Source organism: Homo sapiens, chromosome 12, assembly GCF_000001405.40.
Source record: "Homo sapiens chromosome 12, GRCh38.p14 Primary Assembly".
NCBI lineage: Eukaryota > Metazoa > Chordata > Mammalia > Primates > Hominidae > Homo > Homo sapiens.
Genome location: NC_000012.12, coordinates 125,210,617 through 125,236,835, shown reverse-complemented (window position 1 = coordinate 125,236,835; position 26,219 = coordinate 125,210,617). Strand labels below are relative to the sequence as shown.

Here is a 26,219-nt window from a genome sequence, read left to right as displayed (position 1 = left end):
CATGAAAATACGGAAAAGGAAAAAGCCTATCTAAGGCCCTAAGGGCAAAGAGCTTGGCTTTTCAAAAGACAGAGAAGCCAGGGTAAGTGGCCAGGAAAGGTGCAGGAGACAGCTTGAAGTGGTGCAGGATACATCAGGTGGGGCCAGGCTGGATGGGCTTCTGCAGCTGGCCTGGGGAACCAGGACTCTGTCCCAGGGGCAGCAGTGGGGAGGCTCTAAGGTAGCACCGTATACAGACAAGAGACATGATGCAACTGCCTCTGTAAAGGACTCCATGGGTCTCATGTGTCCATTAACGGATGGCAGATAAACTTATACCCGATAAGCAGAATGTGGTCTACCCCAACAATGGAATAGGGTTAAACTATAAAAAGGAATTGACCGGGAGCGGTGGCTCACACCTGTAATCCCAAGAATTTGGGAGGCCAAGGTATGTGGATCACTTGAGGTCATGAGTTTGAGAACAGCCTGGCTAACATGGCAAAATCCCATCTCAACTAAAAAACAAAAAAAACAAAAAAAAATAGCTGGGCGTGGTGGTATGCACCTGTAATCCCAGCTACTCAGGAGGCTGAGGCACAAGAATCACTTGAACCTGGGAGGAGGGGGTTGCAGTGAGCCAAGATCACACCACTGCACTCCACCCTGGGCAATAGAGAGAGATTCCGTCTCAAAAAAACAAAAAAACAAACAAACAAACAAAAAATTCAACTATTAAAAGGAATGAAGTGCTGGTCCGGCACAGTGGCTCATGCCTGTAATCCCAGCACTTTGGAAGGCTAAGGTGGGCGGATCACTTGAGGTCAGGAGTTCAAGACCAGCCTGGCCAACATGGTGAAATCCTGTCTCTACTAAAAATACAACATTAATCGGGCATGGTGGTGGACGCCTGTGGCCCCAGCTACTCGGGAGGCTGAGGCAGGAGGATCGCTTTAACCCAGCAGACAGAGGTTGCAGTGAGCCGAGATTGTGCCACTGCACTCCAGCCTGGACAACAGAGCAAGACTCTCTCCAAAAAAAAAAAAAAAAAAAAGGAATGAAGTGCTGATAAACATTACAACATAGATAGACCTCAAAACTGTTATGTTATGTGAAAGAAGCCAGACACAAAGGGTCACATATTTGTACGAGTCAATTTACATAAAATACCCAAACTTGGCCAATCCATAAAGACAGAGAGCGGATCAGTGATTGCTGGGGCTGGGGCAGAGGATTAGGGAGTGGCTGCTCAATGAGTATGGGGTTTCCTTTTGGGGGATGAAAGTGTTTTGGAAGTAGGTAGAGATGGTGGTTGCACAACGTTGTGAATGTATTAAGTAACACTGAATGGTTCGGTTTAAAGTAGTTAATTTTATGTTATATAAATTTCACCTCAGCTTAAAAAAAAAAAAAAATCCAGCAGCAAGAGCCTCCATGGGCCCACAGGTGGATAATCAGCCAGCTGGAAGGAAGAGGGAGAGATGACAGCAGCTGGGACAAAGGTGGGATCCATGGAGGTGAAGAGAAGTGTAACATTTGAGATATAGTTTGGAGGTTCCAAATCATAATTTGGCACTCCCAGGCTAGTCCCAGCTTTGGCAGGACATCATGTGAGAGTTTGTGGACTCTGTCTTTATTTGCTGCCTGACCTGGGTTGAACTTCCCACAAGCCCCTAATTGTAAAGGTGAGAAATGCAAATGCAGCCTCTCCCAGGGGCACCACCATCCAGAGTCCACCATGACCACCAGTGAGTGGCAGCTGCAGCACAGCTCCCTGGAACTGGGGGATCACAGTTAAGAAGGAAGCCAAACTAGCATGCAGAGGCTTAGGAATATTCACCAACCCCATGATGCTACAGGCTCTAGGAGCAGGATCAGCTGCAAAGAGTACGCTGGAAAGAGATCTGTCAGTTCAACCCCTTCCTCACAACTACATTGTTCACAATGCCCCCTCAGCTCTCCCCACACCCCATTTATCCCCACAACAGCCTGCACCCTAAGATAAAGCAACTGGAATATTAAACAAAGAGATAGGGGATAGAGGAAGAGCCTTGCCTCCCAGTGAGCAGAGAAGTCCATCTGGAGGTGTTATCATTTTAGGTGCATCCTGGTGTCTGGTGACACACAGAACCTTCTCATGAACAGCGCCAAGGACCTATCTGATCCCATCTTGAACAGAGGACATCTCTCGGATTGTGGCTCCTGAACCCCCTTCATCAGAATCACCTGTACTGCTTGCTGAAAATACAGATCCCTGAGCAAGGCTCAGAACCTGAAGGGACCGAGGGGGGTTGGTACAACATGGATCGTTGGGCCCCACTTGACTCGGCAGGTGGGGCCCGAGAATGTACATTTCTAACAGGCTTCCAGGGAGTGCTGATGTGGCCAGTGCAGGACCCCACATGGAGAACCACTGTGTAGTCTATCATGAGTTGGTTTCAGCGGGAGGTGATGGGGAAAACCTCACCTTCTCTAGTTCACAGGGCTGAGTCATTAGGTTGGGAGGAAGCGCCATGGAAAATAGGGGGTTGGGTCCTTTGCAGTGGTGTCACAGGATGGGACATTTTCAACTGGACCAACAAGAATTGTGTGATCAGGAAAAGCAAACAGTCAGGAAGTGGGGAAAGGCAAAGATACAAGAGGAGGATGCAAAAACTATGAACTTCATCACATCACACACAGCCCAGCACTATCCCTGGCCACAGCCACTTGCCCACAGACAGAATATAATCCAGGAAATATTTACAAAGACCAACTGCCTGCCAGGAGCTGTGCTATGAGAGTCCCAGGAAAAATATCTACATCCCTGACTACAGCAATCCTTTGGTGTCCAGTGGGAAAGACAAACTCTTATATACATCTTCATAATAAGAAGCCAGTAAGAGAAATTCCTATCCCCTATAAAATCAGCAAAAAATTCCATGATCAGACCACAAGCGCTCATGAAACGGCTGCTATGGGCCAGCACCATGCCAGGATCTACGGGGAGGCAGTTGAATAAGAGAGAGTCCGCTGACCTGGAGGTTCAGGCTCCAGGAAGAGGGTCCTTAGCATAAAGCATTATCAATTCAGCAGTGGCTGAGAAGCTCTGCATCCACGAGCCCAATCAAAGGGAGAAGCCCCAAGCCTACTAGTGGAAAAGTCTGTTTTGATTCAGACTAAATGGCCAAATCCTGGTCCTAGAAGATATTTTCAATTGCCTATGCCAACATCCTTCCACCCCTTTCTTGTTAAAAAGGGAACCCCAAGTTTATTTGAGGCAGCTGAAAATTTCTTTTTCTGTCCTTCCCTGCAGCTAAGCGTGGCCATTGACTATGAGTCATTGACTTCTGGTCAATGAGATATAAGTAAAAGCATGGGGTGGGACTTCTCAGAAGACAGCTTAAAAACAGTCAAAATGGCTATTGGGACATCTGCTTCCTCCAGGGCCTGCCTGGAAGGTGGAGATGATGGCCAGAACTCTGGGAGCCATCTTCAACCATGAGGTGACCATGAGGATGGAAGTCACAAGCCAAAGATGGCAGAGCAGAAACTAGAAGGATCTTGGGTCTTTTTGACATCATGGAGCCACCACATTAGAGGTGAGAGATGGAAATTAACTTCTATCCTGTATAATCCCTTATTATTTTGGTTTTCTCTGCTACACACATCCAAACCTACTTCTACATGACTGTTGAGGGACCAGTAACCACTTTGTTTCAGACACTGGGGTGAGTTAAAAATCCTAGTCCTGGCCTGGATAAGTCCCTTTTGCCAAGATTAACACACTGACCTACCTAGGGAAACAAACACCCCAAGCCAGGGACATCAGAGACACATATACAGGCCACAATGACACTCACAGTGGTATGGAATCACTGAACTGGAAAGGTCTTGAAGACCATCTGATCCAACCAACCCATTTCACAGATTAAGAAGTTGAGACTCTTGGGAAAAAAAATGATTTTCCCAACTTCTCCAGGCTAGAGCTTTTTATACCAAAGTAACTTTCATCAGAAAGATCTTCTTATTAGCTAGAAGAGTCCATGATAATACTTTTGCCAGATCTAAAAACAGAAAAGAACAACATAGCCATTTCACTGAACACCTCAATTAATTAATTGCCCAAACAAGTCAAGCTTGAAGCTTGGGTCCTTAGGAAAAACATGAGAGCTACTTACACATTTATGAGAGAGAAAAAATGCACAATGTGACTTTGTACATTTAACCCTGTCCCAATATTTATAGCACATCCCTGTCTGTCTGGCAAGCAGGTGTCAATTCTATATTTGTGCCCAGGACTTTCTCCTAATGCCAATTTATAATTCAACTAATCAGGAGATGTTTATTGGCTGGGAATTCATCAGGAAAATTCCATGATCAGGAATTCTCTATTACAGATATTTGTCTCAAAAAAAAAAAGGTAAGTGAAAAGTGATAAAAGCAAAAAATTATTTTTTTTCAAGAAGATATTCTTAGAAGAGAATATTTAAGAAATCAACTGACTGTAATATGGGACTGCCACCTCACTTTCAAACTTCTATCTTCTTCAAATGGACACACTCTACTGGAGAGCTCCAAAAAGAATTAAACAAAAGAATCTAAGCAAAGAACCATGAGATGGTGATAACACAAAGGAAAGGCAAAGATGTTCACATCAGCATTGTTTATAATGAGGAAAAAAACTAGAAACAACATAAACTCCCATCAATGGAGAGATTTTTTAAAATAAATTATAATATATGAAGACGATGACCACTACACAGCTATTACAAAGGGTAAGGTAGATCTATATATGCGTAAGTGTGTAAAGTTCTAGAATATAAACTATTTTATATCAAAGTGCAAAAAAGTATGTATACTGTGCCTTCCTTCACATAGATTTTTAAAAAACACACACACCCATACATGGACTGGTTTGTGCATATATTTTTCTAGAATTATGGAGAGGTGGTATTTTTAGAGTGAAAGACTGAGTTTTGGTGGGGGGGGGACACAAAAGAAGTTTTATTTTGTAACTTTACTATTTGAACTGTTTTTACGAAGTACATGCATTTTTTTAAAGTATTAATAGGGATCGGTACAAAGATTGTAAGCCTTTGGGTTTTTTTTTTAATTTAAAGAAAAAGATGTATAAGCAATTGCTTTCAAACTCTGTTCTGTGAAATCCTAGAATTTAAAAAATATGCCTTAGCAAGCTTCTACCCTGGTTCCAATCAGAGCGGCTGTGTTTTCTAGCCTATGTTCCTGCATAATATTTCTTAGGGGGAGAAAAGAGTTCCACCACTAAAAAATATGTTTCAAAATCCACTGGGACATGGGCAATATAAATGTGCCAGATTATTCACATCGCTTCTATTAAGACAAACATGCTCAAATACTCCTGTGTGGACCAAAGTAAGCTCTGGAGTTCCAGTTCTTAGAGCTCAATGTAGTCCAAAAACCCCACATTTCTTGGACCACAGAAGGTCACTCATGCAGTAGGTTGAACAGTGGCCCCTTCACCTCAAAACTCATGTCCGCCCAGAAAATACAGCCTTGGCAGATGTCATTAGTTAAGGTGAGGTCATACTGCATTGGGGTGGGCCTTAAATTCAATGACTGGGGTCCTTATGAGAAGAGGAGCAGGACACAGATATACACACACACACACACACACACACACACACGGAAGACAGCCACGTGAAGACAGAGGCAGAGACAGGAGCGAGGCAACTGCAACCAAGGTACGCCAAGGATTGCCAGAAGCCACCAGGAGCTGGAAGAGGCAAGGAAGGAGCCTCCCCTAGAGCCTCCGGAGGGAGCACGGCCCTACCAAAAACTTGGTTTCTGAATTCTGGCCTCCAGAATCGCAAAATAATAAATTTCTGTTTTGTTAAGCCACCAGATTTGTGGCAATTTGATATGGCAGCCATAGGAAATTAGTATAACTCACCAAAGGGACAGGTGGTGTAAACAACAGTATGGACAGGCCACGAACCAACAACCAGACCAAGAGAGATTCACCTTTATCTTCACTGTTGCAGGGGTTATTGAACTCTAGCGTGCTCAGCATCACCTGGAAGACTTGATAAAACACAGATGTGTGGCTCACGCCTGTAATCCCAGCACTTTGCGAGGCCGAGGCGGGCGGATCATGAGGTCAGGAGATCGAGACCATCCTAGCTAACAAGGTGAAACCCCGTCTCTACTGAAAAAAAAAAAAAATACACACAAAAAAACCACAAAAATTAGACGGGCGTGGTGGCAGGCGCCTGTAGTCCCAGCTACTCAGGAGGCTGAGGCAAGAGAATGGCATGAACCCAGGAGGCGGAGCTTGCAGTGAGCCGAGATTACGCCACTGCACTCCAGCCTGGGCAACAGAGCGAGACTCCGTCTCAGAAAAAATAAAAAAATGAGAAAAAAAAAACCACAGATGCCTGGGCCCCACCTGCAGAGCTTCCAGTTGCATGGGTCCAGGGCGAGGCCTGAGGACCTGCATTTCTAACGGGTCTCCAGATGCTGTCGCTGCAGTCCAGGAGCCACACTTGAAGCAGCATTGCTCCACCGCTTCACACAGAGGAGAAGCCAACACACCCCTCCCCGCAGCGCCAACCTGAGAAGCACCACCTCCTTCTCCTTAACATGTTAGCCTCACGTGTAAGGTTTTTTAACAAAAGTTTCTACAACCAGCAATTAAAAAAAGAAACTAGAGGAAATCTGCAGTGTCTCCTCTCCTCCCAAAATACCTTAGACTGTGAGGAGACATCTGTTGTTTTTGCCTGCCCGGGCTCCAGTCCTCCTTCTTCTGTTCATCTTGCCCAGCTTTCCTTTGAGGAACCATCCTCCGCCCTGTTCCCGGCCCTTGTCCTTCAGGGAGATTGGTGCCACCCCAGCATGTGACCTAAGGCTGCTCCTGCCCCGGCATTTTCTATCCTCCTGAGCACAATAATAAGTGGTTCTGGAATGGGCACATGCCCTTAGGGAGACCCTTTAGACGAAATTATGAGAGGAATGATTAATCTATCGAGCAATAGCTGTTCTCTTTCCACTGGGATTGCACAGCTAGGCGACTGGGAGCGTGCAAGGCCGGGAACATCAGCAGCCATCCTGATATCTCATGAGGAAAACCTGTGCAGAAACACAGCCAACAGAAGCCAGCAAAGCCAGGAGTCACAGAGGACATTCCCAGTGTTACTGTTTGAGCCCCTGGATTCAGCTATGCCTGAAGCTGCAACACGAGAATATCTGTGCCTTGATTTTTTCAGTGCTGAGTCAATAAATTATTTGACTATTTTTCTATAGATAGATGACAGATAAATGATAGATGACAGATAGATAGATACATTGATGCACAGGTAGGTAGATAGAATTTACTTATGTATTTAGCCAGTTACAGTGGGTTTCTCTTAATGGCAACCACAAGATTTTCAACTAGTACAGATTAAAACGTTGTGTTCTAAGAGGCAGGTAATGGAAGAGGAATGAACCTAGTGACGGTAAGGACCTTCGAGGCCAGGACTCACCGCACTGACTGAATCACAGGCACAAAATATAAGTATGCTCTAATGTAGTAAAGTGCCGAGAGTTCAAAAGCAAGTCCTGGATCAAGTGTTAAAATATTAAAGAATTCCCCAGAAAGACTTCTAGAAAATGGTGACCTTATCCATCAGCACGCATTTGGCTGAAATAACAGAAAAACCCACTAAAAGCAGCTTAAGCCATAAGGACATGCGTTATTTACTTAACGAGAAACTCGGAGGTGGGCGGTGGCCAGGCTGCTTAAGAGACTCAATTGCGTCATGAGGGACCCAGGCTTCCTTCCAGCTCCCTGTCTGCCCTCCTCGGTGTGCTGGCAAGGTCTCCCTCGCCCGCGGCACCATAGCTATGCAGCTCTAGTTGGTCAGGTCCTCAGGGTCTGCATCCAGGCAGGAAAGATGGGAAAAGAAGAAGATTTTCTCCTCCTACACTCCTCTCTTAGGGAGAGAATTAGTCAAAGAAGCCCCAGTACACAGGCTCTTCTATCTCATGGGCTAGCACCTGGTCACGTGGCCACTTCTAAACCAATCACTGGAAAACAGGGAAGTGATTGATACATCGGTTTGGACCAATCAGGATCCCTCTCTGGAGCTGGGCCCATCACCTCCTAAACAAAATGTTATTCTAGCAGCCAACAGGGGGTCGGCCGCTGTGGGTAGGCACCAGTGACGTCTGCTGCAGAGAGCATTCGATCCAACCCTCCATGCACCATGTCCCCACACGTTCCAACCACAGAATTGATCCTAACAAGCCTGAACAGGTCCAGCTCCGCCCACCAGCCCTGTGGCAGAAGCAACTGAGTTTTATCCTCCCTGTGTTTTCCAATCAATCTGGTCAAAACAGAAGCACGGCAGAAATGCTGAGGTCAGGAGAGCATCAAAACCCAAATTGTTCGACTCTTCCCCCAGATCTTTTCTGGGCCAAGAGAGTTGCTGCTGCCTTCCCACCCCAGAGGTGCTGACCTCCACAACTCTCCATTAATCAAGAGCCCAGGGCCAAATCCCTCCTCACTCGCCTACCATCTGCAATTGTTCACACACACGTGGTCCTGGAGCCCCGGGGTGCTAACGAGGGCAGCGGGGTGAAGAGCCAGAGGCCAAGGGAATTCTGGCCAGTCCGAGCTCATTGAGGCCTCACAGTCCATCTTTCTGAGGCTCGGAAACCGAGAGGCGGAAACAGGGGGTCTTCCATGTCAGTGGCTCCCAGGAACTTTGCTAATGAGGTGGCAGATTCCAGCTACTCTTGATGTCTTGATTTGGGATCCCCCAGAAGCAGATCTGAGACAATAATTAGAGTACAGGTGTTTCATTTGGAGATGATTCCAGGAAGCATCGTGTGAGGAATAGAGAAATGCAAAGAGAGAAAAAAGAAGTCAACAAAGGGTACGTTATCAAGCCAGGACAGTGCTGTGGCACAGAACACTGCAGGCAACTAGTGCCCAGTCCTGCTGAGCAACACTGGGCAACACTGGGACACAGTGTGGAGATTCACTTTGGAGTTATCCCACCCCATGGAGCTGGTCTCCTGGAGGTCATTCATTCCTGGTACTTTTGTTCAGCCCTACACACAACCAGAGCAGCTCTGATGGCCACATTGAAACTCACAGGTGTCAATCGTGGAATGCTGGACCTGCACAAGAATGGCAAGGGGGTGAGGGCAGGGAGGGAGAGCATGCTGAATCTGCCTTGGTCCCTAAGCTGCTGATTCTATGTGATCCTGAGAGAGGGGAGACACTGAGCTCAAGAGGGAACCATCCTAATAGATCTCCAAAGCACCAGCAACCCCACCCCTCTTGGACTCAAGGGAGTCTGCCCTTTGCTGCCCAGCAGGTATTTCCAACCCTACCCAGTATCCAGATCCAGTCACAAGAGCCCACAGAGCACAGTCATTAAAATGACAGGTTATGGACCCAGACCACCTGGGTCTGAATCCCAGCTCTGCCACCCTGGAGCTGTGTGTCCTTGACTAAGCTCTTCAACCTCTCTGTGCCTCATTTTCCCCATCTATAAAATGGGGATAATGAAGTGCCTTTCTCGTGGGGTTTTGTGAGGATTAAATGAGTTAATACATGTGAAGTGCTTCCTGCCACAAGACCTCAACAAATGCAGCCAGTATTAAATCCCCATGGAACCTGGCTCTCGCTGTCCCCTTTCAAGCCAGGACAGTGCTGTGGCACAGAACACTGCAGGCAACTGGGCCGCAGTCCCACTGGGCAATGCTGGGAGACAGTGCCAAAAATCACTTTGGAGTGAACCCACCCCAAGGAGCTGGTCTCCTGGAGGTCACTCACTCCTGGCACTTTTGTTCATCACTGCCTCACATACCGGGAACATCCTTAAGTGAAAATGGAATTTTCAATATTATTGCTACCTAACACCGTTACAGCACTTAACAGTTTATGACACATGTAATTATCCACTATTATAATAACCACCAGTCCCCAAGGGCCTAGAAAGCACTAGGCACAGCTAGGCGTTAAACATGCATCACCTCTAATCCTAGAGAACTCTCCCTCTAAAATGTGACATCTGGGACCTGGTGAGATTGATTTTCCCCCCAGTGCCGGCATAGCACTGGCTGAATGAATACATGAAGGAATGACCAATCCAATAAACCCTGACACGTAGATTTTACCCCACTTTACAGATGAGAAAACTGAGGACCTAGGAAGAGTGGACTTTCCCAAGGGAACCAGCAATGCTCAGATTTGAATCTATGCCTATCCCTAATTCTAAAGCTAACCTCTTACCACTGTGCCCGTGAGGCCTTCTTAATGGACTCTCCCGATTCCCCTGTCTGGAAGGAAGTAGACATGAGAACCACAAAATCTTAGGCATTTGCTGACCATTTTTATGCCTCAGTTTCCTCATCTACAAAATGGGACAGACAATAGTGCCTTTCTCAGAAGGATTGCTGTGTGAAGATTAAATGTGGGAATGTGTATATAGAGCTTAAGACACTGCTCAAGAGATGGTAGCAAGTAGGAAAGTGTCACAGCCAGTGCTCAAGAAATGTCAACTAATATTATCAGCTCCAAACCCTTAACAAAGAGGGTAAGTAGCAGGGCCAAGGTGGAGCTGGGGCTGGAAGCTGGGGTACTAACTCCCACTCAGGGCCCTTTATTTGCTCTGTCACAACTCTGTGTGACTCTGTCGTATGCAAATTTGACACCCTTAGCTGAGAGCAAGCTACTACATGGATGGGGAGTTGATGCTGCTGCTGCATTTAAATGAAAACCAAACAGGTATACTTGAAACTAGCCCACAAAGAGGTACACACAAGGACACTATCGGTATTCTTTTTTGCATAAGGCAAAGACTAGAAATAGTGCAAATGTCCATCAGAGGGTAAAATGGAATTTGTAGGTTGATAGGAAGCTAAGAGCAGAATTATTATACTAGAAAACCTAGATCCTGTCTGCTTGCTCCCCTAGGATGGTGATTTGACCATACTGTTTGTCCTGGGCCCACAGGTGGACTACATTTCCCAGCCTCCCTTGCAGCTAGGAGTGGTCATGTGACTGAGCCTGAATTAATGGAACGCAAGTAAGAAGGAGGTGCACTACTTCCAGACCTGGCGCATATATGGGAATGTGCAAATTTGTTTTCCTATATGCAGAGACCCAGCACAGAATTGCAAGCCCCGCGGAGGTAAGTGAGCTGCAAGATGAAAGAACCCTGAGTCCCCATGTGGAAGGCTTGCCTCACACTCTGATTGAACTGTTCCATGGAAAAGAAACAAACTTCTATTGGACTAAACCACTGAGATGTGGGAGTTGTTTGTTAGAGCAGTCAGCCCACTGCGATAGAGTTAAGTTCTTCCAGAAACATGATGGAAATCCAAAATATAAAAAAGGCATAGCACAGCCAGAAATGAACTTCCCACCTCTAGCAAAACTTGCCTATGTGCAAGGCTGGCTTCGTGTGTGAGTGGCCTGTGCTGTCACACAGGGACCTGATCTCAGAAAGCCCTTATCCTTGACTTAATGCTCTGCTATCGCCCTCTTGAAATTCTTGACAGTTTTCTAACCTGCATTTTCATTTCTCACTGGGCCTTACAAATGGTGCGGCTGGTCCTGCTTACGTGGCCAGTAACCTCTCACCCTGCTATATACTCTGGGAGCCCAGGGAAGTTACACCATGAATCACTGCATCTGCCCCTGCCCTGGGCAGCCACCTCACTTTTGACCAGAACTTTGTTCATCCTCAGCTGATTGATTTGGGAACTGGACCTCGCCACACTGTGGGTGTGTGAATGTGTGTGCACATGTGTGCAGGTCTGTGCCCTCCTCCCTCCACTCCATATTCCACCTGAACCACTGCATGTGGTATCCCACACCTCCACCAGAAAGGATGAGGAAGGTCTACATCTCCTAGGATACAGCAATCCCCTTTAGAAGATTCTTTAGAAGATCTCTGTTAGGAAAGAAAGAATGCAAAAAAGTGTGTGTGTGTTTGCATGTTTAGGTATTGTGGTCTTGGGATCAGGGAAGGAACAGAAAACCTGCTTTTCAACAGATACCCCTTTTAAACTGTTGGCATAGTTTTACCATGTATCTGCCTTCGATTCAAGAAAACAATTTTTTAAGTGGCCAGAAAAGGCCAGGGAAGGGAGAGGAAGAAGGCTTTCTAAAAGAAATGGCATCAGATATTCAGTTGGGGTTTTTCTTCTGCCCTTCCTCTTAAAACACATCTAAGTGCACCTCTAAGCGTCCCTTGGAGCAGCTGCCCTCAGAAGTGCTGCCCCAAGACAGGCAGGGAAGGGTCTGCCTGGGCAGCTCCAATCCCTCAGGAAGCACAAGAAGTCCTGCCTCATACAAGACAGTCACCCACCTGAGGACAATGGGATGAGTGCTTCAGCACTGCACAGTGGTCAAGGAGAGCTCTCTGTCTCCTGGAAGTCCTTAATATCAGAAAACAGTCGGCACCCTGGGAAGTCCACTTAAAGTGGACCCACTTAAAACAGAGACTGAATTTTCACGATTAAAAAAGACATGACTTTAACCTAGAATTACCCTATGACCCGGCAATTCCACTTCTAGGTATACACCAAAGAGAAATGGAAACAGGAGTACAAACAAAAACTCATACAGGGATGTTAATGGCAGCACTATTCACCATAGCCAAAGAGCAAAAACAACCCAAATGTCCATGAACCCAAATGTCTATCAACAAATGAATGGATTAAAAAATGTGGTATATCCATACAATGAAATATTATCCAGCCATAAAAGGGAATGAAGTGCTGACACATACTCCAATGGGGTTGAACCTTAAAACATTAGGCCGGGCACGGTGGTTCACGCCTGTAATCCCAGCACTTTGGGAGGCTGAGGCAGGCGGATCAACTGAGATCAGGAGTTCCAGACCAGCCTGGCCAACATGGCGAAACCCCTTCTCTACTAAAAATACAAAAATTAGCTATGTGTGGTGGCAGGCGCCTGTAATTCCAGCTATTCAGGAGGCTGAGGCAGGAGAATCACTTGAACCCAGGAGGCAGAGATTGCAGTGAACCAAGATCGCGCCACCCTAGGCAATAGAGTAAGACTCTGTCTCTGAAAAAAAAAAATATTATACAAAGTGAAAGATGCCAGACACAAAAGACCACATATTGCACAATTTCTAGTAAATGTTCAGAATAGGCAAATTTGCAGGTACAGAAAGTAGATTAATGGCTGGCGAGGGCTGGGGGTAGCGGGACAGAGAGTAACTGTTAAACGGTGTGATTTTATTTTGGGCTGATGAAAATGTTCTGGAATTAGTGGTGATGGTTGCAAAATATTTTAAATATTCTAAATGCCAATGAATTATATACTTTCAAATGTTTCATATGATGGATTTTATGTTGTGTGTATTTTACCACAAAAAAGTTAAGGCATGACTAGAAATTTTTCTTGAAAAATCAAGTAAAAATTTTACAAATAACTCCGTTGTTTTATGTTTCCCAAAATGTAAATTATAGTTGCAACTACAGGTCAATCCTTAGACTAAAGCAAGAATAAACTGTTGAAGGTAGTCATTTAATTCGTCCAAAAGATCATTAAGAGCAGGATGCAATCTCCTTTCCTTCTCATTTGACTTCTGTAACATGATCATAAAAAGTGCATTTTTGCTAAAATATCTCAAGGCATCATCAACTTCCTCAAGGTCATCTCTTACTCTTTTGATATTCAGATCACTTTATTTTGAAGCATCTGTTAGTTTCGTCGATTTCCTTTTCTTCCAGCACTAAGTGCCCTAGCTGAGAGAGTTCCTCATTGGTCAGTGGTTTTGCTGTGGTTCTGGCAATTTGCCAATATCACTTTCATCGACTTCCTGAAATCCTACATTTCTTGCAAGATTTGCAATTTCACTTTATGATCTGCACTGAATTTACAGTTCATTATGTAATGTATTGAATCTACAGTTCCTGCCTGATCCTTCAAAGAAAGAATAGTGAAAAAAATGGGATGAGTGAGAACAGACACAATCAATATTTTACCCTAGACCATTGAGTTCTCCAATGGGGGCAATCTTGCCCCCCAGGGACATTTGTCAATGTCTAGAGACATTTTTGGTTGTCACACTGCAGGGTGGGTGGTACTACTGGCATCTAGCTGATGGAAGGGCCAGGGATGGTGCTGAACATCCTACAATTCCCAGGACAGCCCCACAATCAAAGATTATCCAGCTCAAAATGTAAATAATGCCAAGGCTAAGAACCCTTGGTCTAGAGGGATGTTGAGTGGGAAGTAAATTTAGAATAGAAATTGTCAGTTCATTGGCAAGTATTTTCATGTTTGGACATTTAATTCCCAGGCAAATACCTGAAGCAGTTCCAAGAACAAATGTTCAGAAAGTGAAAATCCCCCATATTGCTGTATGGAGTCCCTATATTTATGGAGAGCCTGGTTTGTGCAATTGTTTCCTTAGTCGCCTTGGCTGCCAGGATACCCAAGGCCAAATTTACGATCTCCTGGCATACATTTCTGGTGCTGACCCACCCCAGCATTATAGTAACTATGCAATTCTCCCTTATTTTCCTTTTGTCTTAATCATTTTAATCTTATTATACTGATTTATTTCTGTTTGCTGCCTTGAGTCCTTGAGGGAAGAAAACAGAGATAAAAATAAGCAACAAACACATAGCTTAAACTATATAGCAAATAAGGCAGAGAAACTTATTGTCCCCTGGGAGTCACAAACACCCACTGCTCCCTTTCCCACCTTTCTAATAAAGGTGATGTGGGGCTGTTATCTCACCTTCTTCCTGAAATACTTGGGCCTTGACAGCAATCCAGTTTTTCTTATGCAAAGGCTCAAAGGGAAGATTTTACAAGGGTCTACAGCAAGCCAGTTTCATCACCTTGGGAGACTGCAGCAGCCCTCTATTTCTGAACTGCAGTCCTGGGGCTCCACAACCGCTCCATGAGCAGGCGTCATCTTACCAGCCTCACTGGATTGCCCCAACCACGCTAGTTGGGCTCCAGCCCACAAATACAGGAAAGCTACTCCTCCTTCCAATCTCCCTTCCCACAAGTTGTCCAAGTTATACCAGACCTTCAAGGCCCCACGCAAGTCACACCTCCTCCAGGAAGCCTTCCCTGAATTCCACATGAATGTCCCTTCTCTGAATGTCTCCTGTTCCTACAGGGATGAATTACACCCTCTGTTTAATCACTTTGTTTTAGGTAGGCCAGTTATCTCCAAGGCCATTTCAAGACCTTCCCAGCTCCCAAGCATTCTTTCTTTTACAGGCTTCCACTGTACTAAACATATTGAAATGTTCCTACGACCTGCCTTACATAAAATTATGAGTTGGGAAAAACTGTGGTTGTTTGAACATTTGTTTTGATATTACCATTTTCTTTTCAGATCTTAGAACCAATAACTTTTTCAGATCTCAAACATTTTTCGGGGGCCTGGATATAGTCATGAGCCCTAGGCACTGTGCCCACAGAACCCAGTGGAGAAAATAACCACTCATTTCTCCGACTAGACGGGAAGCTTTTGAAGACGAGGGGCAAGTGTTATCCACTCTGAATCCTCATGCACTGAGTAGAGAACAAAGTAAGTGCTCACAGAACATTATTCCATTAGTATTTACTGAGCACCTACTATCTGCCAGGCAGCATTCTAGGTCCTGGGTATATATCTATGAACTAGACAGATGAGGTCACTGCTCTCATAAAGCTGACATCCTACTGTAAAACACAGATGAACAGATAATGATATGTCACATCAGCTGGACAGAAATGCTATGAAAACAAATGAAGCAGGAAATGAGTGCTGAGCGCTACTGTAGGCGGGGTGCTCAGGGACAGCCCCTCTAAAATGATGACATGTGGCTAAAGTCATGAACTGAGGGTATGAGCCACGCACACATTGGGCAAGAGTGTTCCAAACAGAATTGCACGTGCAAAGGCCCTGGGGCAAATGGGTGCTGGGCCTCTCTGGGACAACAGGAGGCCAGTGGCTGACAAAGAGTGAGTAAGGCAGGAGAGGCCTTGTGGGCCAAGCTCAGGACTGTGGGTTTTTACTCTGAGCGAGCTGGGAGCCGTGGAAGGGTTTGGAGCAGAGGAGGGATGTGAACTGATTTAGCAGCTTAAGAGGTACACGCTCCTACGATCTGGGAAACAGACACAGCAGGACGAGGGTAGAGGCAGGAAGATCACCTAAGAGGCTGCCGCAGCCCCAGGACCTGCTGATTGACTGCCTGACCACAGAGCGTCAACACCAGGAGCTCCGTGGTGCCTGCCTCCCACTGTGAGAAAACCCAAGCCTGATCAGCTTCTCACTCCAGACCTCTTGGAAATGCCGACAGAGAAGGGCCTGAATCGCTATCGTCACTTTCTCCAAGGCTGGCAGGATGCCCAGATCAAATCAATACAGAATACACAAGCATTTAATCTGCACTTGTTTAAGCAGCGGCTGAGCCTCCAAGAAACAGCATTATCTTGAAAGCTTGTTAAAGGTTTGCAGCCAAACAAAATCCCGTAGACTTTGTTACGTGTCTCCAGGCGGTGAGGCTGGGTCGCCCCTGGTTCTCACAGATGTGGTTTGGGGCAAGAACAACCTCAGCCCAGACACAAGGTGGCTTGAGGAAGGAAGGAGGCCCCTTCCCAAACCCTGATGAGAAATACCTCCATTGACCAAGATGTGGTTTTCAGTGTGCTACAAAACAGTGCATGCAATATGCTACTCTTGCTATAAGAAAAGTGGAGAAAATAAAAACATGTATTAGTAGTTGCTTGTATATTATATAAACAAACTCTAGAAGAATCCACAAGAGGTGAACTTTAAAAGGTCACCTTGTGGAGCTCAGGGGATGGGACAGAAAAGGTTGAATGCCTACTTCATAGGGCTGTCATGAAAATCAAATGAGTCCGTGTGTGTAAATACTTACGGCAAATACTGACACACAGCAGGCTTCCAAAAATGTTAGCTGTCGCTATTGATGAGATGTAAAAGGGGGTCCCTCAGCAAAGGGGGCCGTCAGGGGAAGGCTGCTGGGGGACCCCTGGGGGAAACAGTGGCTCCTTCAGATACACAGATCCTAGGGTGCCCACTGAATGGATCCAGTGCCACTGAGGCACCTGTGAAAGGGATTGTTATTGATTATGCCAGGTGTAAACCAGGGCTGGCTGGTAAAATCAGGACCTAAGCCCCTAATGTCTTCTGTCACAGACCAGTCTCAGCTAGGGCTCTTGGAATTGTTCGAAACCAAAGTGGACCTGATGGAAGGAGATGGGCAGCCCAGAGCCTGGCGGGGAGGGTTGGAGGACCAGGTCTTGAGAAAGACCAGGTCCTTCCCACACACACAACAGAGGTGTGAAGAGGACCCCCGATCCAGCTCTGGGGATCCAGGCAGCCTCATCACACCTTTATTGTGCCTAGGGGAAGGACAGTTCCCCCAAGATGCCAGGTGAGCACAAACAGCTGCCCACTCCAGGCACACTTCAGTTGATTTTTCACATCGTTAAGCAACCTTCTGATTAATAGGAAGAAATCTAATTGAGATACGACTTCCTAGTCAGAATGCACTAGGTCCCCCAGATGCTCTCCTTGGGCTTCAAGGAAGATAATAGAATTCTGCAGAGACCATCTCGAGCTGTCGGTGTCATCCAGAATCTTCATCCAAACCCTGGGAATGCATTTCTGCATCTCTGCCACGTGGCCCTGAGATGCCACCAGAAACCTCGCCATCATGGCTATACATTTAAGGGGAAAAAAGTGCAACTTATTGCAACACTCCAGCAATATATCTTGAGCAATGGATGACTAATCTAGAGGCTCAGGACCTCTCACCACAGATGGCTCTCATTTTTTAAAATTGAGGTGAAATTCACATGGCATAAAATTAACTATTTTAAAGGGTACAAGTCAGTGGCATTTAGTATATTCACATTGTTGTGCAAACACCACCTTTATCTAGTTTCAAAACATTTTCATCACCCCAAAAGGAGACCCTGTATCCATTAAGTGCTCGCTCCCTATTTCCCTCCCATTCATGGGCAGGTTTTTGTTTGGGCACCTGTTTCCAGTTCTTTTGAATATAAACCTAGGAATAGAATAGCTGGGTAATTCCAATAAAAAAAAAAAAAAAAAAAAACAGCTTCAACAAGAAAGATGTCCCTCCCTCTCTCCTACCCATCCCAAGTACTTTTATCTTGCAGATTAGAGAATTTATCAGCCTCAAGTTCATGGTGGGATCCTGGGTGGCCCAATCAAAGGAGCTGATGGGAACAGTTCACACTGACCTTTTTGTACTCATAATCTTGATCCACAACCAAATCCGAGTCACAACCGACAATGCAGAATACAGCCAGGGTGGGGGTTTCTTCCCTCCTACCCCAGAATGCCATGTCGTGGGCGTTTGAGATTTTTAGATTTCATTTCTGCACTGGAAATCTAGAAGCCAGATACAAAACATTACAATTTCACAGCAAAGAAAAATAGCTCTGGAAGCTCTCGGTCACAAGGACAAAGAGACAAAAATCTATGGAAAATACTAAAATAGGCCCTTTTTTCTCATTTTAAGGGGAAAGGACGATTGAGAGCTTGCCTTTTTTTCTTTTAAAATATTTTTATTATATAATTTAAGTTAAAAAATGCACATGGCATGAAATTCGAAGAATACAAAAGCACACCATACAACATTATCACCTCCCATCCCTTGTCCCCCAGGCAATCCATTACCCTCCCAGAAGGTACCCAACTCCCCCAGTCTTATAGGACTCCTTAGGGTGTTGCTCCACCTATTTGCAAACATATACATGTGTATTGTTCTCTTGTCCACACTTGGCAGTACTAACTCCCTACATCTTGCTTTATGCATTAAAAGCACATCTTACAGTTCCATCTCCCTTAAAATTGGCCCGCCTCATTTTTTAACAGCTGCAAAATATTTCCCTGCATGGATATGTCATAATTTGCTTAATCAGTTTAGGCTATCCTCAAATCTCTCCTCTTACGAACAACTGCTGCAGTCATTATTAAGACATTTTGCACACGTGGAAATTTATCTGTGTGATAAACATCTCAGTGCGCAATTGCTGGGTTCAAGGCATGGACGTTTTAATTTTGATACATAATGCCTGTCAGTGCATTTAGAATTAAAGGAAGGAAGGCCAGGCGTGGTAGCTCACACCTGTAATTCCAGCACTTTGGGAGGCCAAGGAGGGAAGATCACTTGAGGCCAGGAGTTTGAGACCGGCCTGGGCAACATGGTGAGACCCCCATCTCTACATAAAAAAACATTGTTTTAATTAGCCAAGCATGGTGGTGCCTGCCTGTAGTCCCAGCTACTCGGGAGGCTGAGGCGGGAGGATCGCCTAAGCCTGGAAGGTCAAGGCTGCAATGAACTGAGATTGTGCCACTGCACTCCAGCCTGGGCAGCAGAGCAAGACCCTGTCTCAAAACAAACAAACAAAGAATTAAGCGAAGGAGTATATAGGCAAAAGAGAACACTTTCTACATCTATACCCCATCCCAGGCCCTGAAACTCAGAATGACCTAAAAGTACTGGTACCCCAATATATAAGATGGGAAACTGAGGCTCAGAGAGGAGAGTGAGTGACCCAGCCATGTACCCGGCCCCCAGCCTGGCCTCTCTTCCCCACCCTCCTGCCTAGCTGCCACTGAGGTATGGCCTGCAGCTGGCTCTCTGCCTCCCAGCCCATGAACTCCAAGTGCCCTGAATCTGTTGATTTACGGTTCTGCTTTGATACCCATATTAATCACCATAACTTTTAATTGAGCTAACACAAGCATCGTATGTTGCTAATTACACAATGCAGATGAAAAACTCTTCCAGATGAATTTAACTGCTTAGTCCAATCAGACTGGCAAGTTGAGTTTTAATTACAAGCCAGTGCATACAGGGAAGGCATCTGCGCGGCCGAGTGGCTCAGGGCCTGACGGCTCCAGCTTGTGAAGCGCCAAGATCGCAGCCAGTGGCCACAGCATCCTGCCCAGCCACGCAGGAGGCATGCGGATAATGGAGGAGCTGCTCGATGCCTCCGGCCAGCTTGCTGCCTCCGTGGACCCACCCGAGCCCCTGGGTCCAGACATCTGTGGAGTCTCTGGCAGGAAGAAGGATCTCCAAGTCCCCACGGCTGCACTCCCCAACCATTCCAGCTCAGAAAAGGAATCACTGACTCCTTTTCTCAGGAACTAATCAAAGGCCTGTTATCAGTGACCTTTTCTTGAACATCCTTTAACATCCTGTCAATTTGCCCACACTCACAGAGCAGAGAGAATCAGGCCACGATAACGGAGTAATTCCAAGGGCAATGCCAGGCTGAAAAGACATCTCAGCACTGATTTTCTCAACAAAGACACAAAGAAGGCCTCCAAGGCTGAGGGCTGGAGAATAAAGCTTAGAGGAAGAGAGGTGTTACAAAATGAAGTTTTGTGTTCACCTCCCCAAGCCACATGTGAAAGCCCCAATGCCCAAGGTGACTATATTTGAAGGTCAGGCCTTAATGGAGGTAATTAAGGTCACATGAGGTCATAAGGGTGGGACCCTGATCCAACAGGACTGGTGTTCTTTTAAGAGGAGACATGAGAGAGCTTCTCCCCTGCTTCAAGCCTCCCCACCCACCCTCTACCTTTAGGACACAGAGAGGAGGCTGCCATCTGCAAGCCAGGAAGGGAGCCCTCACCAAAAACTGACCTTGCTAGCACCCTGACCTTGAACTTCCAGCCTCCAGAACTGTAAGAAAAGAAATTTCTGTTGTTTAAACCACTCTGTGTGGTATTTTCTTATGGCAGCCCAAACTAATACAGGAGGCAGATGGAATCAAGGCCTCCAGGGATGCCCAAGTTCAGAGGCCAAAGAGCAGAGAGATTCTTAAGAAGGGGCAGATAAAGATGGCTGTGGTAAGCAGAATAATGGTGCCCAAAGATGTGCATGTCCTAATCCCTAGAACACTGCCCTCCTGGCAATAGAGACTGTGATCAAGTTAAGGCTCTTGAGCTGGGGAGATTACCTTCTGTTATCCAGGTGGACCCAGTGTAAGGGTCTTTATAAGAAAGAGGGCCAGTGCAGTGGCTCACGCCTGTAATACCAGCACTTTGGGAGGCCAAGGCGGGTGGATCACCTGAGGTCTGGAGTTCAAGACCAGCCTGGGCAACATGGTGAAACCCCATCTCTACTAAAAATACAAAAATCCTCTAGGCGTGGTGGCGCATGCCTGTAATCCCAGCTACTCGGGAGGCTGCGGCAGGAGAATCACTTGAGCCTGGGAGGTGGAGGTTGTGGTGAGCTGAGATTGTGCCATTGCACTCCAGCCTGGGCAACAGAGCGAGACTCCATCTCAAAAAAAGAAAAAAAAGAAAAGAGGCAGGAGAGTTGGAGTCAGAGAAAATGCAAGGGTGGAAGCAGAGGTCAGAGACAAAGAGAACATACTATGCTGCTGGCTTTGAAGATGAAGAAGGGGCCACAAACCAAGGAATGCAGGTACCCACTAGAAGGTAGTAAAAGCAAGAAAAAAGAGATTCTCCCGTAGAAACTCCAGAAGGAATGCAGCCTGCTGACACCCTGATTTTAGCTGGGTGACACCCATTTCTGACTTTTGACCTCCAGAAGTTTCAGATAATAAATTTGTGTCATTTGAAGCCCCTATGTTGCAGCAGCCACAGGAAATTAAGGTAGTGGCAAATGTCTCCTTCATATCTATAGAAATCCTGGCAGGAAAAAGAATTTGCCCTCAATGATGGTTCGAAGGAAGAGATTTCAATGACGGGTCTATATACAGAAGTGGAGGAGCATCAGGGGAGTGGCAGGGTAGGTGTAGCACCAAGAGGCTGGCAATAGGGGGAAGCTGTTACTTCTTGAGCCTCAAGGGACAAGGAGAGAGTGGTGTTATGGAGCCAGTGAGGGCTGCAGCTGGGAGAAGAGGCTTCCTCATTAGAACAGAAGTCTCAGAGGGAGGCGAAGCCCCAGGCAGAAATGTGGAGACCGAGCACAGAGGAGCAGGGAAGCAATGCCCTCAGTCTCTTTTCCAACCCTCTCATTTCCAGCCGGGTCTCTCATTGTCCAAATCCATCTGGAAGTTGAAGGGCAGGGAAGTCCAGATGTTGCAGCCCTTGTGGGTCAGCTTCCGGGGAACAGAAAAGGGCAAGGAAGGGTGGAGAATAAATCTGGGAGAGGGCAACTGGGAAATATCCAGCTCATCTTCTTTTTGGCACCAGCCTGACTGCTAGAGTGGGCACGTGTTGTTTGGGCCTGACAGCAGCCATTCTCCCTTCCCCTGGAAACCATGCCCTGCCTTTCTCCTTTGGAGGCCTCCTGTCCACTCTCTATAACGTGGTCCAGCCAGAGGGATCCCTTCCCTCCCTGCTCCAGGAGAAGGCACATGACCTAGGCTTGGCCCGAGTCACAATGATTGGGCCAAGGATTGTCACGTGACCTACTGCTAGCCAGTGAGAGTCAGAACTGCCATTTCTGTGAGAACCATCAGGAAAGAGGTGTTCTCTTCCTGCTGGGCTGCTCAGCTGGTGGGATATGAGGTCTACCCAACAGCCGTGCTTTAGAAGAAGCTGCCCTGAGAATGGAGCCACTATAGAAGAAACTAGTGCTGAGAGACAGAGGGAGGCTGGGTCTTGATGATGGCAATTAAGGCCCTGGGTCAGCCACATCAGAAGCCTAGGAGGACTTTCCAGATGCATAAATCAAAAGATGTTTTCTTTCAGCTATGCCAGTTTGACTTGGGTTTTTGTCATTTGCAACTGAAGGAGTCCTAACACCTCCTCCTGAAGCTAACCCTAATGGCTCCTGCTCCCGATTCAGACCTCCACAGAAGCACTCCTTGCACTGTATTGGAATTATTTATCTGTCTATCCCCCCAGTAGACTGAGAGCTCACTGACGAAGGGGTACTATTGTTCTCTCTATCCCCCAAACTTATGTGCCCTGGCACACAAAAAGCATCAATAAATATTCGAATGACTAAATCCATCCATTTGGATAGATTGATAAATGAATGAGTTATCCTAAAGACAGATTTGGTGGCAACCTAGCATCTGCCATTTTTGTAAAGTAGATTCTAACCTGGCACTGGCCACAAGGAACCTCCCTTGATGCTAGGAGTACAGGTGGATGAATAAGCAAGGTAGTCATGATCTATACTTACAGAGATCACACTCTATCTAGAGCAAGGGACGCTAGATCATGTACAGGTAAACCCTCTATCCAGGCAACAAGGGAGACTCATTCAGATAGTGATAAGTGCTAGACAGAAAAATCACACAGTAATTTATAGAGAAGGTCTAGGCTGGAGAAGCCATCACTGAATCAGAAGCCAGAGAGTGACCAGTTAGAAGCCATTTGACTAAAAATGAAAGAATCTTTTACGGGCTCAGAACTCCGGGCTCAAAATTCTGATAGCTTTCCAGTTGGCTTCCCATTAGAACCATATATGGAGCTTTTAAAAATTACCCAGGTATACCAGAAAGAATGAAAACAGGTGCTCAAACAAATACTTGTACACAAATGTTCTCAGCAGTGCTATTCACAATATCCAAAAGGTGGAAGCAACCCAAACACCCACTAACAGATGAACGGATAAACAAAAGGTGGCATATCCGATAGACAATGGAAGATGATTCAACCATAAAAAGGAGCATAGCACTGACACAGGCTACAACGTGGATGAACCTTAAAACCACTGTGCAAGTGAAAGAAGCCAGACCCAAAAGGGTGCATATTTTAAGACTGCATTTGTATTAAATAGCCAGAACCAGCACATCCATAGAATAGAAAGTAGAAGCGTATTTGCCAGGGGTTGAAGGCAGTAGGGAGTGACCGCTAGTGGGTACGGGACTTCCATTTGGGAGGATGAAAATGCTCTGGAACCAAACAGAGGTGGTGTTTGTGCAACACTATAAATGTACCAAATGCCACGGACTTGTACACTTTAAAATGGTTGTGTGTTGTGTGAACTTATCCTCGGTTTTTAGAAAAACTTAAAAAAAAAAATGAAGTGAAACAGTTAGACCCTGTCGATGATAGGTTATATAACCCTTTGTTTTTGTATTTTGGCTTGTACAAAAAAATATTGAGGCATTAAACAGGATTCTAAGTATGTGAAAGAGGGCTGGGCATGGTGGCTCACACCTATAATCCCAACACTTTGGGAGATCGAGGTGGGAGGATCACTTGAGCCCAGGAATTTCTTTTTTTTTAGACGGAGTTTCGCTCTTGTCGCCCAGATTGGGGTGCAATGGCTCAATCTCGGCTCACTGCAACCTCCACCTCCCGGATTCAAGTGATTCTCCTGCCTCAGCCTTCTGAGTAGCTGGGATTATGGGTGCCCACCACCACACCTGGCTAATTTTTTGTATTTTTAGTAGAGACAGGGTTTCACCACGCTGGCCAGGCTGGTCTCAAACTCCTGACCTCAGATGATCCACCCGCCTCGGCCTCCCAAAGTGCTGGTATTACAAGCATGAGCCACCACGCCCGGCCAAGCCCAGGAATTTGAGACCAGACTGTGCAATATAGCAAGACCCTGTCTCTACAAAAAATATATATATTAATTAATTTATTAATATGTGAGCGACTAAACAGGAAAAGTACCCAGGTCACATCCCTAGAGGTTCAGTAGGTCTAGATCCTGCCTGGGCACCAGTATCTTAAAGGTTCTCCATGCCCAAAAATGATTCTACCAGGGAGCCAGAGTGGAGAAATTCCGCACTGGGATAGGAAGCCCTGCCATCGAAAGCAGAACACAAAGCAAAGCCCACCAAATGTCAGGACCCAAGCTGCCGGCAATCAGCCTCACATCTGTCCGGAGTCAGACTGAAAAACTACCTATGGCAGAAGGCTGCCATGGTCCCTGAAGAGGGAAGAAAGGTGACCAAATCCACACATTCTGGATCCTGTTCAAACCAACAAATGATTTGTAGGTTCATTTGTGTCTCCCTTCCAAGCCATTAGTGCCCATCAGTGAATGCCCAGCTGGTGCAATTCACAAGGGTGTTTACACGCCCTGAGACCTGCTCTGCCCACAGGGAGCTGAGCTTGCTCAATTCCCCAGACAAGATGGTTAAAGGCAGGGTCAGAGGTGGCTGGCATGGGAAAAAGAGAGGGCATCCTTCACTCATCCTTGCCAGCGAGAAGCCAGGAAGAGAAGGCATTTATTATATTTGGTGACAGAGAAAGCCAGACTGAGTGCTAAGGAGGTGAACCGTGTGCAGCGGGTGGAAGGAATGAGGGCGGTCGCAATGTGCATGCTGCCTTCTATTTTTAGTCTTTATTTTTTGGATCCCCTGGTTTCCCACCCTACTCCTCACTGAGTCCTCCCACCAGAACTCAGCCTCCAGGCCACTGTTCCAACATTCTATGCCCTGGAGATGGTGCAGAAAACAGGCAGCAGACAGCTGGTCTGCTCGGAGCAGCCTCGCTCCCCCTCAGTGGGCTGTGCCCCAGGAAGCCCACAGGGTTGGAGGCTGACTTTGGGGAGGTAGCAAGGAAGAGGAAGATAACATGATAGAAAGATGACTGGGGAACACATATTTGGGGCAGGAGACAGTTTAAATTCTTAACTCCAGACCCATAAACCCAGCTGCATACCCAACAACTCCATGGGAAACAAATATCTCAAATTGAACCTGCCCAACCTGGAGTTTCCAATCACAGTCGAGCCTGTTCCACCCAGAGACACCCCAGCTCAGCTGGTGGCAACTCCATTTTAAGGTTTTGGCTTAAGCCAAAACCTCACAGATATCCCTGGACTCCCCTCTTTCTTTCATACTCCACATCTAAACCATGAAAAAATAATCCCCTTGTTTTCACATTTTTTTTTTTTGAGATGGAGTCTCACTGTTGCCCAGGCTGGAGTGCAATGGCACAAGCTCAGATCACTGCAACCTCTGTCACCTGGGCACAAGTGATTCTCCTGTACTTTCTCTTTTGAGACAGGGTTTCGTTCTGTCACCCAGGCTAGAGTGCAGTGGCACCATCAGAGCTCACTGCAGCCTTGATTTCCTGGGGTCAAGTGGTCCTCCTGCCTCAGCCTCCCAAGTAGCTGGGACTACAGGCACATGCCACCATGCCCAGCTAATTGTTTTATCTTTTGTAAAGACAGGATCCACTATGTTGCCCAGGCTGGCCTCAAACTCCTGGACTCAAGCGATCTGCCCACCTCGGCCTCCCAAAGTGCTGGAATTACAGGCATGAGCCACCACACCAGCCCTCTATTTTCAAAATATAGCTAGTATCTTCCCTGTCCCCTCCACCTCCCCTGCCACCCCAAGCTCC

General features: G+C 46.3%; 1 protein-coding gene across 3 annotated transcripts in view; it reads right to left on the bottom strand.

The window, feature by feature from the left end:
- Positions 1-26,219, bottom strand: part of TMEM132B (transmembrane protein 132B) — a 475,992-nt gene that overhangs the window by 425,542 nt on the left and 24,231 nt on the right. Inside the window, exon 1 of one of the 3 annotated variants that reach the window (XM_047428243.1) lies at positions 18,215-18,581. The exons of the other annotated variants lie outside the window; for them this stretch is intronic. The gene's annotated coding sequence lies outside the window, so the exon portion shown is untranslated. Of the gene's footprint in view, positions 1-18,214; positions 18,582-26,219 lie in introns of those variants that run through there. 3 annotated transcript variants of the gene reach the window in all.